We start from the raw sequence: 16,148 nt of genomic DNA on the forward strand, positions 1-16,148 counted from the left end.
CAGTCTTCAGAAGGGGTCAGGGATAGGCTGAGAAAAAAGGTCCCCGGAAATGGTGGTCCATTTGGTTTTTTTTAAACCAAAAGGCGGCATCTCCAGGTTCAACCAAGAGCTGGTTACATTGCTATAAGTCAGGGAGAGTATGACCCCAGGACAATTCTGAATTGTTCAGTAAATTTTCCTTTTCCTTTCCTTTCACGGGTGACGGCATATAAATCAGACCAAGACCGAAGTTTAAATTATGTCTCTTTCCTCAGTCTAGCTTGGGAACAGGGGCCTGCTGTACCCTGGCTTCATCTGTAGGAGATCAGGGCCCAATGAATCTTAAGGTTACAGGGAGTTGAGGGGCATTGAGGTTCAGTTGGCAGAGGACATTCTGGGAGAGAAGGATGCAGGAGAGAGCTGGGAGCAGGATATGGAATTGCTATGGGGTTTTCTGGGTTAAAAACATGTTTCTGAAGGCATGATGTAAAAGCCTCAGTGGTTTGAGTGAGGTATGAATTATTTCACTGTTTTTTGGCGTCTTCCTTAAATAAGCAGACCATCATGCATCTGAGAATTTTGTTCCTTTTTGTTCTGGGTGTCCCTTTAGGTGGATTAATTTGGGGATATCCGAGGAGCCCCAGAGGGCCATTGTAATTCAAGATCTTCAGTAAACTTCTGCCGCGGAGAAAGAACCCGGCCAGTATTGGGACCATCGTGGTGACGCAGGATTGGAGGAACAGGGGTTTCGGTTGACTGAGAAGTTCCTGTGAGAGAAACAGGCTCAAATAGAGAGAATAGAAAGATGTCGTGAGGAGCCAGGAAACAAAATTTTCCAGGGGTCAGGGAATGAATTCTAATCAGAACAAGGAGCCAGCAAGAACTTCCAGCCTAGGAGGTACTTTTCAAAAGAAGCCTGGGACTCTAACCCAGCTTCTGAGAGTATACTCAGAATTGTTAAGAATCAGGCAGGGCGCGGCGGCTCATGCCTGTAATCCCAGCACTTTGGGAGGCTGAGGCGGGTGGATCACTTGAGGTCCGGAGTGTGAGATCAGCCTGACTAACAAGATGAAACCCCATCTCTACTAAAAAAATACAAAATTAGCTGGGCGTCGTAGCGCATGCCTGTAATCCCAGCTACTTGGGAGGCTGAGGCAGGAGAATTGCTTGAACCCAGGAGGTGGAGGTTGCAGTGAGCCAAGATCGCGCCCTTGCACTCCAGCCTGGGCAACAAGAGTGAAACTCTGCCTCGGAGGGAAAAAAAAAAAAAAAGAATTGAAAGAATGAAAACCTGTCCTCAATGTGCCTGAATAAATGCTTGTTCAGACACTGGATGTGAAGTCCGATTCTCCACTGGATACCCAAACTGCAGGAGGTAGGTGGTTCCCATCTGGACCCGAGTTGCCTACCAGACCATTGTCAGAAACACAGCTGGACGTGAGTTAAAGTGGTGAAAAAACAGATTTTATTCAGTAACTACTGAAAGTAGGGAAGGAGCTGAGCTTATTCCGATTTCGGCAGAGGTGATTTGGGTGTTTTAAAGAAAGAATGAGGGAGACGGGAATAAAGGAGCTCCGAAGTGTCGGGGAAGTGAAAAAGTGCAAAGGGGAGCTTCCGGATAGCGAAGCACGTGGAGGTTCCTGGAGGGTGTCCTCCCAGAGAGGACGTGGAACCTTCCCGCTCCCACCGCGCACTTGCCCTGTGTATCTCTTCCCTTTGGCTGTTCATCTACATACGTGGTAGTTTCCTTTATAGTAAACTAATAAACGGAAATTTGCAGCAGCTGTGAAAAACTTCAATTTTCTGAATCCACTTTTGATTTTTAGTGGCGATTGCTTAAATGCCTCAGTTTTAAGTATCATAACGAAAGGAAAGCATACGATTCCTATATTAATGAATCGGAAGTACCTTTTGCAGTTTTTGTTTTGCTTTTTCAGACAAGGTCTTATTCTGTCATCCAGGCTGGAGTGCATTGGTGGGAACACAGCTCACTACCTACTCAGCCTCCTGAGCTCAAGCGATCCTCCCACCTCAGCCTCTCAAGTGGCTAGGACCACAGGCACCCACGCACTACACCGCCTAACTAATGTTTTGTTTTATATTATATTATTTTATTTTATAGAGACAGAGGTCTCACCATGTCGACCAGGCTAGTTTTGAACTCCTGGCCTCAAGCAATCCTCCTCCCACCTCAGCCTCCCAAAGTGCTAAAATGATAGGTGTGAGCCACTGCACCCGGTGATTTTGCAGTTTTTGGAAACCACAAGTTTGATTTCGGTGTGAATATTTTGGAAGAATCTATGAAACAAATGCACTTCATCTGATTTCTCAGTAATGTTGATGATAGATTTACTTCTGAACCTCTTGGACGTGTGTATGTTAGAAGTTCTCCACCCAATTGATACGGAATTAAATAGCTGTGAAATTACTGTAAGAAGAACCGAAGCAACGTTGGAAATTTGGTAACTAATGCCACGTTGGAAGCTATTCATGCCAATGTAGCATTGCTTCATACAGGTACTTCCAGATCTAATTGAATACATCCAGTGGGAAATTTCGCTTTGCGTGATTTTTTGGCTATCCTTCTCATAATGGACCCCAGTTTTAGTTGTCAGAGTAACACAGGCACAGCTGCTTGAAGGTCTTGAAAATGAGGTTAACAAATATTCAGCTTTTGGTGGGAGTTTTTCTCAAGTTGTTGGAATAGAATTTGGACTCAATTCAGATGCGGAACTGGGACACTGAATGATAGATAACAGATACTGTGAAAGTTCAAGGACCATACGAAAAAAATTTACCTTCTTGCTGCTATAAACAATATATTGCACATGGGAAAGATAGTTACGTTATGCCTGATAGTTGTTCTTGAATGTTTGACACAGAAACTGTACAAGTACCTTCCACAGTCATCATGAATCACTTTTAATCGATAAAAATTTTGTAGGGAAGGAAGCAGTGTCTTTCAGGCCATTGAATGAATTTGATTACTACTACGAACAAATCATCATTATTAACAGCCTTCGAGGAAGAATCAGATAAGCCATCAGCAGTAATTGCAGTACCTGGCATAGAAGGGTGAATTTGCCATATTTCTCAGCACATGAAAGAACATTTGTACCAACTTAGAGCCGGAGGGGAACAAGGTTTAAGAACTTTTCCCGTTATTAGTGGTAATGCATCTGAAAATTTTGATTCTGATTGAAATACTATATGGGTAATATATAATCAATGCCCAACTGAATGGAGAAAACCTACACTTTTTGCATTGTTAAGCACAGTAATATAATTTTGGCTCTTTGGCATTGTTCTAGAATTAATTTTAATTCTAGGGATATTGCTCTAAATGTGCTTCTTATCACTTTTGACTCTTCAGTGTGTTATCCAGGAAACAATATATATACACTTGTGAACTGTTGTTTGTGATTTAAGCATATATATTGAATAATGTTTCCAGATTAAATGACTTCCAAGCTCCAAAGAAAAGAGTACAAAGCATTGGTCAATATAAACGTGATTAGGTCAGCTGTGTCTGCTAGCAGGCAGTTATCTGAATTAGGGATCTATCCTCCCACAGAGAGTTGGAGACGGAGGCCTTATCCTTCTTGATGATTATATTTTGAAGGAATGGCTCTCAGATCCTTGAGAGAGATGCTCCTGAGTTACAATTGTGAGGACTTTTTGGTAAGTGCCCTAAGAAAGTGTGGTCAAGGAGCTATCATCAGATGTGTGCTGGCTAGAGCACATAGTAGATTTTCCTGGCAGCACTTAGCTTTCTCAGGCAGGCACTATTTAGGGGCCTGGGATCATTCTAGGGACACAGCCTTATGCTGCCAGAAGCCAGACTTGTTTGATCAGGTCTCAGTGCAGGGATTCGGATGGGGTTTTCATGTGCCAAGGGTTCTGCACTCTTCCTTCTCTGCTGCTTGGCACTGTGCATGGTGATCCGTACGGTAATCTACACAGCGTGGTGCTCCTCACCGCAATCTATGGGACAGCTCAGGGAGAACTCAGCTTTTCCAGCCCCCCAGTTTTAGGTTGAAAAATCATGGTAATACCCATTAAAAAACAACACAAGCAGTAGCCAGCAAGCAGCGAGGTGCCAACATTGGGGTGCCCTCTCAGGCAGTGGCTGCCGTCTGCTGGGGCCAGTTACTAAGAACTCTACAGACTCATTGTCTCCATGTGGTGTACACCACCTAGCTTGCTCGCTGTACTAACTGTTCTAAAAATATACCCTGGCCTTGTTTTTGAGCAGGTATAGTAAGGCACATACACCAGACATGCAAATGATCACCAGAAAGGAATACTGTTTTTTCTTTTTCTTTTCTTTTCTTTTTTTTTTTTTTTTTTTTTTTTTTTTGAGATGGAGTCTCGCTCTGTTGCCCAAGCTGGAGTGCAGTGGTGCAATCTAAGCTCCTAGCAACTTCTGCCTCCCGGATTCAAGCAATTCTCCCTGCCTCAGCCTCCCGAGTAGCTGGGATTACAGGCGCGTGCCGCACTCCCGGCTAATTTTTTAGTTTTAGTAGAGACGGGGTTTTGCCATGTTGGCCAGGCTGGTCTCAAACTCCTGACCTCGTGATCTGCCCGCCTCGGCCTCCCAAAGTGGTGGGATTACAGGCATGAGCTACCATGCCCGGCACATTTTTTATTATACCCACAATTCCCAAGACATGGGAGGCAGGCATACTACACAGGGCCACACAGGAAAGTGACAAATTGGGGTGAGGAAGTGTAGAGAGAGGGGAACTGCTGGCAGAGCCTTTATTATGATATTTTCAGGAAAGAATGGGCAAAACAAAGTAAGCAAGTGGTGCAAATTTAGGATTAGATAGTTTGCATGGTTTCAGCGAATTCTGAGTTATAGGGTGGGTCCCTGGTGGTCTAGTACCTGGCGCTATAGTAAATAGGACAGGGGATAGTGTCCCAGGCTGTAGAGTTCTGATAAAAGGAGATGGCTAGGGGTGGTGGACAGGTGATTCGTTGGTTTGCATAGCAAAGGCGTGCTGGCAGGCAAGCTGTTTGTTATCTCTGGGAATGAGTTAAACCTGAGAGAGGTGGTTTCCCAGGTCCGAAAGGCCCTAATTGCATCAATAATACAGAAAATAAGAACATACAGTTAATCCAATTTGACTTGTAGTGCTCTAGCATAACAACATTTTCTGGAGTCCTTACCATATCCTAATATTTGAACACTACCAATTAATTTTAAAAAATAGTATCTGTGGAATTCACAGCCTCTAAATTCTTCCTTATAGAGTTATTCTATTTGAATATAAATTGCTTTATTGTTGCAAGTTAACTGCTGAAAATGTCTGAGTTTAAATAGAACAGCTCAATAATATAGTTTTCTTTTTTTTTTCTTTTGAGACGGTGTTTTGCTCTTGTTGCCAAGGGTGGAGTGCAGTGGCGCGATCTCGGTTCACAGCAACCTCTGCCTCCCAGGTTCAAGCGATTCTCCTGCCTCAGCCTCTCGAGTAGCTGGGATTACAGGCATGCACCACCACGCCCGGCTAATTTTGTATTTTTAGTAGAGACGGGGTTTCTCCATGTTGGTCAGGCTGGTCTTGAACTCCCGACCTCAGGTGATTCGCCCGCCTCAGCCTCCCAAAGTACTGGGATTACAGGTGTGAGACACTGCGCTCGGCCAGTAATATCGTTTTCATATTGATGACCTCGTTGTCTAAAAGGCAATAGTAATTCTTTCTTTAAAGTTAAATCTCTAGAGGACATAAACTTTGGATGATTTTTGAATTTAAGAAAGAAACAAGTGTGACGTTCATAGCATTTTCAGCCCCAATTATCAACAGATGTTAAAAGCACTCTTTGAGGGCTACCGATTGTGTTTCTATTAGCAGGAAAAGAGAAAGGAGGAGAAAAAAACGTGTGAGTAAAAAACAAAGAGGAGCAATAGAGAAAGAAAAAAGAGAAAGGAGTAGAATATGGCAACAATTGGTAGAGAATTATTGGAAACAAACACCCCAGCTATGCCTGTATGAAGGAGGTGTATTACAAATGTTTCCATACAACGTAAAGTGGAAAAGACTAGAATGAAGGAAGAATACAATGTAAAGACTACAGCTGAGAAGTTAAAAATCACACTATGCATAATTTTAAATTCATGTGGGGGAAAATGTTATCATGATTTTATACTTGTAGTTTCTTACCCCTGCAACTCCTTTGCCCACATTTACTCCTGATAAGCAGAAGCAACTATTTTTAAAATTTTACTTTGAACTGGGTGTGGTGTGGCTCATACCTGTAATCCCAGTGCTTTGGAAGGCCGAGGTGGGAGGATCCTTTGAGGCCACGAGTTTGAGACCAGCCTTAGCCACATAGCAAGACCCCATCTCTAAAGAAAAAAAAAATCGGCCTGATGTGGTGGTGTGCACCTGTAGTCCCAACTACTTGGGAGTCTGAGGCAGGATGATCGCTTGAGCCCAGGTTGTAGGCTGCAGTGAATTACATGCCACTGCATTCCAGCCTGGTGACAGAGTGGGACTCGGTCTCTATTTAAAAAAATTATTTTGTCCTAGGTGGATCATCTGTATGTTTATATTAAAAAAGGCTTATATTGCTATTCAGTGATTTGCTGGCTGTAGACATTATATAATATATTAAATTCCTACATGACAGATGAGGAGTTATTAATAACTCATTTGCACGATTTCCCCTTGTACTCTTCTCCCCACACTTAGTTATACTGCCATTCCGCAACTGCCTACTGTATACTTCTGCAACTTAAAGCCATATACTTTAACATGCATTGTTTCTTTTTCTTTCTTTCTTTCTTTCTTTCTTTTTTTTTTTTTTTTTTTGACGGAGTCTTGCTCTGTCGCTCAGGCTGGAGTGCAGTGGCAAGATCTTGGCTCACTGCAGCCTCCGCCTCCACCTCCTGGGTTCAAGCGATTCTCCTGCCTCAGCCTCCCGAGTAGCTGGGATTACAGGTGCGTGCCACCAAGCCCGGCTAATTTTTTTGTATTTTTTAGTAGAGACGGGGTTTCACCATGTTGGTCAGGCTGGTCCCAAACTCCTGACCTCAAATGATCCGCCTGCCTCAGCCTCCCAAAGTGCTAGGATTACAGGCATGAGCTACCGCGCCCTCCCCTCCCCTCCCCTCCCCTTCCCTTCCTCCTTTCCTTTCTCTCTCTCTTTTTTCTTTCTTTCTTTCTTTCTTTTTTTTTTTTTTGACAGTCTCACTCTGTTGCCCAGGTTGGAGTGCAGTGATGCAATCTCAGATCACTGTAGCCTTGACCTCCTGGGCTCAAGCAATCCTCCCACCTCAGCCTCCTGAGTAACTGGGACTGTAGTCATGAGCGTCTGCACCCAGCCTGCCTTTTTTTTTTTTTCTTGAGACGGATTCTCACTCTGTCTTCAGGCTGGAGTGCAGGAGCACCATCTCGGCTCACTGCAACCTCTGCCTCCCAGGTTCAAGCAATTCTTCTGCCTTAGCCTCCCGAGTAGCTGGGACTACAGGCACACGCCACCACACCCAGCTAATTTTTGTATTTTTAGTAGAGAGGGGGTTTCACCGTGTTAGCCAGGATGGTCTCGATCTCTTGACCTCGTGATCCACCCGCCTTGGCCTCTCAAAGTTCTGGGATTACAGGCGTGAGCTACTGCGCCCGGCCTGCATTTTCTTCAACAACATTTTTGTTCCAACAACCAGGAAGATGAGGACATTTAACACTACCATCTTTCCCTCTACCTTGCAAATGAAACTTTTATCTGTTTTACAGGGAGGAATCAACATGACAAAATGAAGATATTTTCTGACCATTCACAGTAATTTAATTTGATTTTATTATTTATTTATTTTTTGGGATGGAGTCTTCACTCTGTCTTCCAGGTTGGAGTGCAGTGGTGTGATCTCGGCTGCCTGCAACCTCCACCTCCCGGGTTCAAACGATTCTCCTGCCTCAGCCTCCTGAGTAGCTGAGACTACAGGTGCAAGCCGCCATGCCCAGCCAAATTTTTATTTTTAGAAGAGATGGGGTTTCACCATGTTGGTCAAGCTTGTCTTGAACTCCTGAGCTCAAATGATCCGCCCGCCTCAGCCTCCCAACGTGCTGGGATTACAGGTGTGAGCCACGGTGCCCGGCCCACAATTATTTTAAAATAATGATTTGGATGGGGCATGTGCATGAATCCCTTTATGCTTAAAGAAAACATTTTACTTTTTAAAGACCTAACATGCCAGGCTTCGGGGTAAAAGCTTTATAATGACCTCACCTGACTGTAAATAGGTAGAATGAAGCACACAGTAATAGAATTTGGGAAAAGACATAGTCCACACTCTAAATTGGTGAAATCTCAATTCTTTTATGACCCAGCTATGAGATCTTGTTTTTTCCAAATAGCCTTTCCTTAAGACATTAGCCTAATATTAGCTTAAATGGCTTACAAAATGTAGACATTATTGGAGTGCTTTCTAGACACAAAAGAGCAGGTTTTGGTGTTCCTTAAAAGAAGGAAGCATGTGAAATAACACATACTCAGCACTTTTTTCTCCCTGGACCAAATATGTTGGGGGAGGAAATGAAGTACATACAAACCCAATCCTGATCTCTAAGGTCCTTTAAATATGTTTAGATGTGTAATGTGTTTAGATCTGTAATGGGTTAATAAAGAATTGAGGGGGAAATTACAACTTTTGGAGCTTAACCTTATAGATAACTAAGCTCTCCCACAAAACGTGCCCATTGCCAGTAGACGGAAATCTGGTTTGTGCGGACTGCTGATCTGATGCAGAATGGCACTCCCTTTGATGTTTTATGATAGTATCATGTTGGAAGAAAAATTTTGCCAACTAAACTATAACACAATTTCTTGTAATTTAGTGTTTTTCTTTTTTTCTTTTCTTTTTTCTCTTTGAGACAGGGTTTTACACTGTTGTCCAGGCTGGAATGCAGTGGTGCGATCACGGCTCGCTGCAGCCTCTACATCCCGGGCTCAGGTGATTCCCCCGCTTCAGCCTCCTGAGTAGCTGGGACTACAGGCATGCACCACCATGCCTGGCTGATTTTTTTGTAGTTTTTGTAGAGATGAGGTCTCGCTGTTTCCCAAGTTGGTCTTGAACTCCTGGGATCAAGCGATCCTCCCGCCTTAGCCTCCCAAATTGCTGGGACTACAGGTGCGAGCCACCATACCTGGCCTATTTTTATTTCATACTCAGTAAAAGAGCACTCTCAGACTTTGACACATTTATTATGCATTGATCTTGTGAATGCATAAAAAGAGACATATAAGTAAAATTGGTTTAGGTATTTCAGAAACTTCATATTCGGAACTCAACTTTCATTTTATTTATTTTTTTAATTAATTAATTTATTTATTTATTTTGAGACGAAGTCTCACTCTGTTACCCAGGCTGGAGTGCAGTGGCACGGTCTCAGCTCACTGCAACCTCCGCCTCCCAAGTTCAAGTGATTCTCCTGCCTCAGCCTCCCCAGTAGCTGGGATTACAGGCATGTACCACCATGCCTGGCTAATTTTTGTGTTTTTTTTTAGTAGAGATGGAGTTTCGCCATGTTGGCCAGGCTGGTCTCAAACTCCTGACCTCAGGTGATCCGCCCACCTCGCGCTCCCAAAGTGCTGGGATTACAGGCGTGAGCCACCGCGCCAAGCCCAGAGCTCAACTTTTATGAATCACTTTTTGAATCAGTTGTCCATGGCTGTAGCTTTCCACCAAAAGTGTTGGTGATGCATCTAACTTTAAGAATGCTCCAGCTGGGCACAGTTACAGCTCATATCTGTAATCTCAGCACTTTGGGAGGTGAATGTGGGAGGATCCCTTGAAGCCAGGAGTTCGAGACCAGCCTGGGCAAAAAAGTGAGAACCCCCATCTCTACAAAAAGTAAAAAAATTAGCCAGGCATGGTGGCACACGCCTGTGGTCCCAGCCACTTTGGAGACTAAGGCAAGAAGATCGCTTGAGCTTGGGAGGTCAAGGCTGCAGTGAGCCGTGTTTGCGCCACTGAACTCCAGCCTGGGTGACAGAAGGAGACCCTGTCTCAAAACAAAAACAAAAACAAAAACAAAAAACAGAGAGGGAGAGAAAGGAAGGAAGAATGCTGCACTATTGTATGCAGGATTTTCTTCCAAGCAGCTGATCTTATTCTGCAAGTTTTGATGCTGGCACCTTCTTGATCTCACCTGAATATGTCAATTTTGTGTTTTCACGCAAAACATTCAGGACTTGTTTTCCTCCTTCAATGGTGTTATTGAATAAAAGCTGTAGGGGTTGTAACTGACTAATCAGGCTATCAAGAATAATATCGAAGTTATTTCATTTTTGGGGGGTGCAAGTAGGCTTAGTATTTAACTGTTCATATATGGGTTCCCAAAATCCATCAAGAATGAATGTACTTGGTAAGTAACTCAGGGCTCCCAGAAGACTACTAGTTCTTAGCCAGTCCCATCTCTTTCTTTTCTAAATGCTGGGGAAATCTCTTTTTGGTCCTAGGAAAATCTTCTCCAGGCAAATCTTCCCTCTTTCCCTAGGAAAATCTCTCTCCAAGTTTGAGTGACTTTTGTCTGTTAATTCCCTTCCTCCTAGGGTTATGGGTTTTATTAAACAATGCACTTATCTCAGTTGAAATGAGGACAACCTGCACAGCAACATCCACGTTGTAATACGTGGAGGTAATGACAACCAGGTCTGTACTGCCACCCGGTCAACGAGAGTTTATAAGATGCATCTTGATTTCACAGATGTTAAAATGTGGGGAAAAACATGGCTTAGCATCTGTGAAATACATAATGTCATGGTGCTTCGATCAATGTATAGTGGATTTTCTATAATTCCAAAGTTGGGATGTGGAAAAAACTTGCCTTAAAAGAAATCCGTACTTTTTGGTATGTTAAATCTAAGGGAGGTTATAAATCGAACAGTTGCAGGAGCCCAACTTTAAAGTGAGAGAAAGATGTAGTGGGGGAAGAAGGAGCTGAGAAATACAGAAAGAATAAAAACAATGGACGCAAAAGCAATAGGCAAGTTTTTTTGTTGTTGTTCTTTAAAGGGACAAAATCACAAGCTTACTAAAAAGGGTAACGACAATTACAGCTACAGCCAAAGAGCAAAGTAGCTCATTTTAAGATTATTTTTACATTAGACATAAGCTTTGCAACAGGGCCTCTCTCCATTTTAGTAAAATTGGTTTAGGTGTTTCAGAACCTTCTTATCGCAGATTATAATTTCATATTCAGTAGTGTGATTCATTTAGGTTTGTGATCTCCGTTACACTTAAACTGTTTTTGCTCACAACTATATTCGTAATGGGGTAGCGCAGTGAATATAATTGCATGACCTAATGTTGTTTGTTAATATTTGTAACCCTTTAATGTGCAGGATAGATCTTTGAATACCTAACTTCCTTAAGCCTCAGTTTTCTCAATTTGTCAAAGGGGGACAATAATAGGATTCATTCAGAGTTACTCTGAAATGAAATGCAATAATGTATAGAAACCTTAAACGGTGCCTAGCACAGAGCAAGCGCTCATTGAACAGCAGCTTTTGTGAGATGCACCTCACTATGAAATAGGCATGGAAACGGAAACGACTAGCTCTCTTAGCCCCGTTTTCTTTTCTACATTCATACGTTGCTTTGAATTGGCAAGCAGTTTTTATTTGGACCCTCAAACGCTAAAACCTTGGTCTCTACTTCGCGTCCCAACTGTGCTTATGAGTCTAGTCATTTTTGTTGGAACGCGATAGATTTCCCAAGCTCCGGAGTGGGGCCCTGACCAGGGAGGAAGTGTCCGCTTTAAGAGCTTCTGGAGGGGAGGAAGGGGCTCCTCCGCCCGGGTGGGAGAGTGAGTGAGTGGGTGGGCGGGCAGGGGGCGGTCCCGCCGCTCCTGCGTCAGAAGGGGTCTGGTTTTCGCACCTTCCCTGACGTCAAACCTCCATCAGGGTTGCAACGCCACGTTGCCTTGGATGCCTGCGTGAGTGGAGTCGCGACTCGGGGCCCGCGTCCTGAGAGACGCGCTCCCGCGCCGCTTCTCGCCTCCGGACCGCAGGGGCCGAAGTCGCCTATTTCTGGCTCCGCGGGCAGCGGGGCCGTGGCGCTCGGACGGTCTGGGATTCGGGCGCCGCCGCGGAACCGGAATAAGAAGGGAGAGCGCCCGGCTCGGTCCTCGGTCTCCACCGCGGCCCGGAAGGAATCCGGGCAGCCTCCGCGGAGGTGAGTGCCGCGGCGGGGGCGGGGCGCGGCCGGGGCGACGCCCGCGGGCGGGGCCTGCTCGCCGGGCGCCCGGGGCGCCTTCTTCCCGAGGGACGCCAGGACCGCTCGCTGGGCTCCCGCGGCCGCCTCGCAGGTCCTCGGCTTCCCCCCACCCCGCGTCCCTTTCTGCCCCTGCTGCGTGAGAGGTGTCGGCGGCTCCGGGCCGGGATCGAGGTGGCGGGGCGAGGGAAGGAGGTGGGGCGCAGGCTGCATTGCGCTTCTGTCCGGGGCCCTGGGTCAGAGGGGCCGGCGGACGAGGCCTCGGGTCCGGGCTTGGGGAGGGGGCGGTCTGCGGGGTCGGATTGAGGGCCGGGAACCCGCGGAGTCTTGCCCCTGGGCACCTGTGGGGCCGAGATCCCGAGCCACCTGTCCACACACCCCCTTCCCCCAGTGCCCTGCGTTGGGTCCAGCTGGCCCCAGACCTAGGCCTTTCCCAGCCTCGGGCGATTATAGTTTATTTGAAAACGTTTGATTTTTGTGTTAATGATTCTTTTACTACCGCCGTGCAACAGTTGTGTAAATGTGGTCGTGTTACGCCATCGTTTTTACTTGCTCCTAAGAAGGGCCTTACCAGCTCCTGCGATTATCTCACGCGATGATTCTTGGTAGCTCGTGAAAAAAATGCATAACAAGATACTGGTTCTCAAGGGACCAAAACCCCACCCCCACCTAAAGGAAATAGCTTGTTTTTGTTTTTCTTTTTTACAGCAATATGCTACGTGTGGGGAGGGGGAGGGACGATGGAGGCAGCCTGTAGCGATCTCATCCTCGAGAGAATCTGCTAACAATTTGGGGGGTATCTTTCCTTCCTTTTTAATTAATACACAAACATATATACGTGTGTTACATAAGGGGTGTTTATTTGCTTTTTTCACTTAATACGTGGAAGACCTTTTCTCTATCGTTTGAACCTAAAGCCTAGAAGGCAAGAAAGCAACTCGTTAGAGAGTTGATAAAGTATCACTGCAGTGGCCAGTGATTTGGATAGAAATAAGCTGAATTCAGGGTAAGAACTGGTTTCTATAAAATATGGTTTACTCTGCATAATAATTGGAGGCAGTGTTTTTTCAAACTGAGTTTTTTCAGCCGGTTCGTGAATGGTGAAATTAATTTAGTCATGACTAGCATTTAAAAAAAAATAAGATCGCATAAAAAAATCAGAATGCATTATATGTAATGAGAGTATTGTTTTGTGAAAAATATTTTAACTGTGCGCGTGTGCATTGTGAAATTTAGTGGGTCGTGACTAGCATTAAAAAAAGTAAGATCGCATAGAAAATATCAGACTGCATTACATGTAATGAGAGTATTGTTTTGTGAAAAATCTTTTAAGTGTGCGTATGTGCCTGTGCGTGTGTGCTCGGTTGTAATTAAAAATTTATTGGTTCCTGTGTGTCATGTTAAATAATCTTGAGAGTCGCTAATCCAAGGTACTGTCAGCACTCAAATGAGCAAGATGCAATTAAACTAGACATTAGTTTTATTTTTTCTTTGGAATAGTGGTGATGTTGATTGCAGCAAATAAGAGTCCTAATTATTTGTTTTCACCTAATATTAAAACAAGTAGTATTCCTAAAAATACAGAGAGGAAGTGTCTAAGTCGTTAAGAGGTTAAAGCATAAACTACTCAAATTGACCAGTGATCACATCTCAGTTACGCTGGTTATTGGTGTGAGACCTGCAACAAGATACCTCTTTTCTCTCAACCTCAGTTCCCTGATTTGTTAAATGGGAATTAATCATGGCAGCTACCTTATAAAGCTGTTTGTTATTTAGATGAGATAATGCACAGGAAGCTGTTGACAGAGCGCCTGGCTCAGATTAAGTACTAAGTATTAGCTATTATTATTTTATTAAGACTGAATAGAGGTGTCTAGGATAATGCTTGTCACCAGAGGAAAGCCAGCATAGCGTGGATAATCCAGAAAAGGGGAAAATTGAAAATTAGTAGTGTTGTGTGGAGGAACTGACACTGAATTAGTGTGGTCTTTTTATGCATTCGGCCATTGTTTTGTCATTGCTCCTCAATTGTTTCCCTACTGCTGGACGGAAAATTTAGATTGTCTTATTCAGAAAACCAAATGCCTTTCTATTGTCTTTCCTTATTATTATTATTTTTCAAATTAAGTTGATGTCTCTTTTGTCAGGCAGTTGAAAAATATGTTTTATGAGGATTGTGGGTTTTGTTAGTTCTTACCACACTGCCACGCCACACTCAGTTTGAGAAATACACACACGACAACTCCAGACTCATTTCAGAAATATTTTTATCCATGTTTACCTCTGCAGCTGGTGCAGATCTCAGGTGTGCAAGAAATATTTCTTTAAAAAAAAAAAAACCAAAAACAAAATGCTGTTTTATTTGTATTTTAAGACATTTCTGCCTAAGTCATCTGGGTAGCTCAGAAATCTCTGTTCACTGCCTGGGATAGGTTTATGCAATTTTAAATGTTACATAAATGAATGAAATAAGAAGGTGAACATAGTCATTTTTTAAAAATAGCATTATTATTTTTATGAAAAATAAATAGAATGCTTTGGATTCATAAAAAGGCTATATTTGCAAAGTACTTAACTGGGTATGACATTGGGGAAAAATGTTTAACATTGATGATAATTCTGCTCTCAGATTTGAAACTGCCTTCAGATTTTTGTTCTGCTTTAGAGGAACAAAAATGGAAACTCGGGTGAATTACGATGTTGTTTGTGAAAAGACATGTCTCGAAACTCTAGCTAATCTGTCCAAAAAAAAAAAAAAAAGCAACAGTCCCCATACTAAAAATACCAATGAAACAAAAAAGCCCCATTTGATCTTAAACATATATACATTTAGAAGTTTTAAGTTAAATATTAAGGTTATGTGTGCATTTAAAAAATTATCTTACTGATTGACTTTAAGAAGTTAACCCACCAACTACTGGTTCTTGTCTTGACAGGGCTTTTATCTACACTGACAAAATGAAATACTATGCAATCATTAAACATTCTATTTTATTTTACTCTATTTTCTCCTATTTTATGATAGCATTTTATAATGGTATATGAAGGTGCTCATTATATGTGGTTCAGTGAGAGAGGGTGGCTATAGAATAGAATGTACTGTACCTTCCCATTTTTGTAAAAATATGTTTAGAACAAAGACGAATACGATACATGTTAATGGTGGGTAGATTATGGCTGATTTTTATGCTCTTTATTTTTATAATTGTACTATTATAAATGCTTTACTTTTGTAATAAAAATTAATAAAAGTCATTTTTTAAAGAAAAATTAAATGTGTATTTTCTTATTTTGTAAGCATACATGACTATGCTTTAAGGGATACTGACTCTTAACTTGGAGATTTCGGGAATTAAGTAATTCTCCAGTATTTTAGGAAATGGTGCTGAGTAGTTAATAGTTATATCCCTTACGCTTTGAAAAGCTCCTTTGAGTAGGAGAGAATCATTTTTCCAGAATTTTCTTAAAGCACCCTCAAGAATACCTCTTTCCAAAAAAACTTCCACAGTGCCTAAAGATACGGTCTAAATTCTTTAGTATGCTTTTGAATACTACCATGTCAAAATCCAATCTACTTGCCCTGGTTTATTGCCCCTTAAATTCTCAAATGAAACCTTAGATTCAGCTGAATTTATTAATTTACTATCTCCAAATGTACTTTGTATTTTCTTACTTTCGTACCTTTGCTTGTTGTATCATTTCCCAACCTTTGAGTGAGTAAATCCTACCCATTTTCCAGTATCTGGTTAAAAAACCGTATCCACAGTGGCATCCCTCGCCGCTCTAGCTAAAACTGAACTTTGCGTTGAACTCATTAGCATTTATTATTTTTGCTGAGGCATTTCTTAGGCAGCACCTCATTCTTTGGCTTTAATTTCCCAATTTCATTTTAAATTTTTTGAGGGTAAGAAAACTTGTCTCATATTTGTCTCTATCCCTTAAAGTTTCTAGC

At 42.8% G+C, this 16,148-nt stretch overlaps 1 protein-coding gene and 1 long non-coding RNA gene across 15 annotated transcripts in view, besides 4 other annotated features; both read left to right on the forward strand.

Annotated features, from left to right (window-relative positions):
• Positions 1-3,454, forward strand: part of CMKLR2-AS (CMKLR2 antisense RNA) — a 62,868-nt gene extending 59,414 nt beyond the window's left edge. The window contains exon 6 of the long non-coding RNA NR_104359.1: positions 590-3,454. This is a non-coding gene — a long non-coding RNA (CMKLR2 antisense RNA). The remainder of the gene's footprint in view (positions 1-589) is intronic.
• Positions 11,769-11,828: a silencer, noted in NCBI's record as "silent region_12267". NCBI's record gives its function as "represses an Ori minimal core promoter by ATAC-STARR-seq in GM12878 lymphoblastoid cells {active_cell/tissue: GM12878}" and the evidence as "EXISTENCE:reporter gene assay evidence [ECO:0000049][PMID:35858748]".
• The window catches only part of ZDBF2 (zinc finger DBF-type containing 2), a 39,765-nt gene continuing 35,490 nt past the window's right edge, over positions 11,874-16,148 (forward strand). For 7 of the 14 annotated variants that reach the window (XM_047445282.1, XM_017004573.3, XM_047445300.1 and 4 more), the window contains exon 1: positions 11,874-12,157. The gene's annotated coding sequence lies outside the window, so the exon portion shown is untranslated. Of the gene's footprint in view, positions 12,158-12,220; positions 12,392-16,148 lie in introns of those variants that run through there. The other 7 variants (NM_001285549.2, XM_005246713.4, XM_011511533.3 and 4 more) reach the window with 2 other exon arrangements.
• Positions 12,109-12,568: a silencer, noted in NCBI's record as "silent region_12268". NCBI's record gives its function as "represses an Ori minimal core promoter by ATAC-STARR-seq in GM12878 lymphoblastoid cells {active_cell/tissue: GM12878}" and the evidence as "EXISTENCE:reporter gene assay evidence [ECO:0000049][PMID:35858748]".
• Positions 12,109-12,731: a biological region, named in NCBI's record as "H3K27ac hESC enhancer GRCh37_chr2:207139745-207140244".
• Positions 12,232-12,731: an enhancer, noted in NCBI's record as "H3K27ac hESC enhancer chr2:207139745-207140244 (GRCh37/hg19 assembly coordinates)". NCBI's record gives its function as "activates a minimal SCP1, AML or CMV promoter by ChIP-STARR-seq in naive H9 embryonic stem cells {active_cell/tissue: H9 hESC(naive)}" and the evidence as "EXISTENCE:reporter gene assay evidence [ECO:0000049][PMID:30033119]".

The sequence above is a fragment of the Homo sapiens genome, chromosome 2 (assembly GCF_000001405.40).
Source record: "Homo sapiens chromosome 2, GRCh38.p14 Primary Assembly".
NCBI lineage: Eukaryota > Metazoa > Chordata > Mammalia > Primates > Hominidae > Homo > Homo sapiens.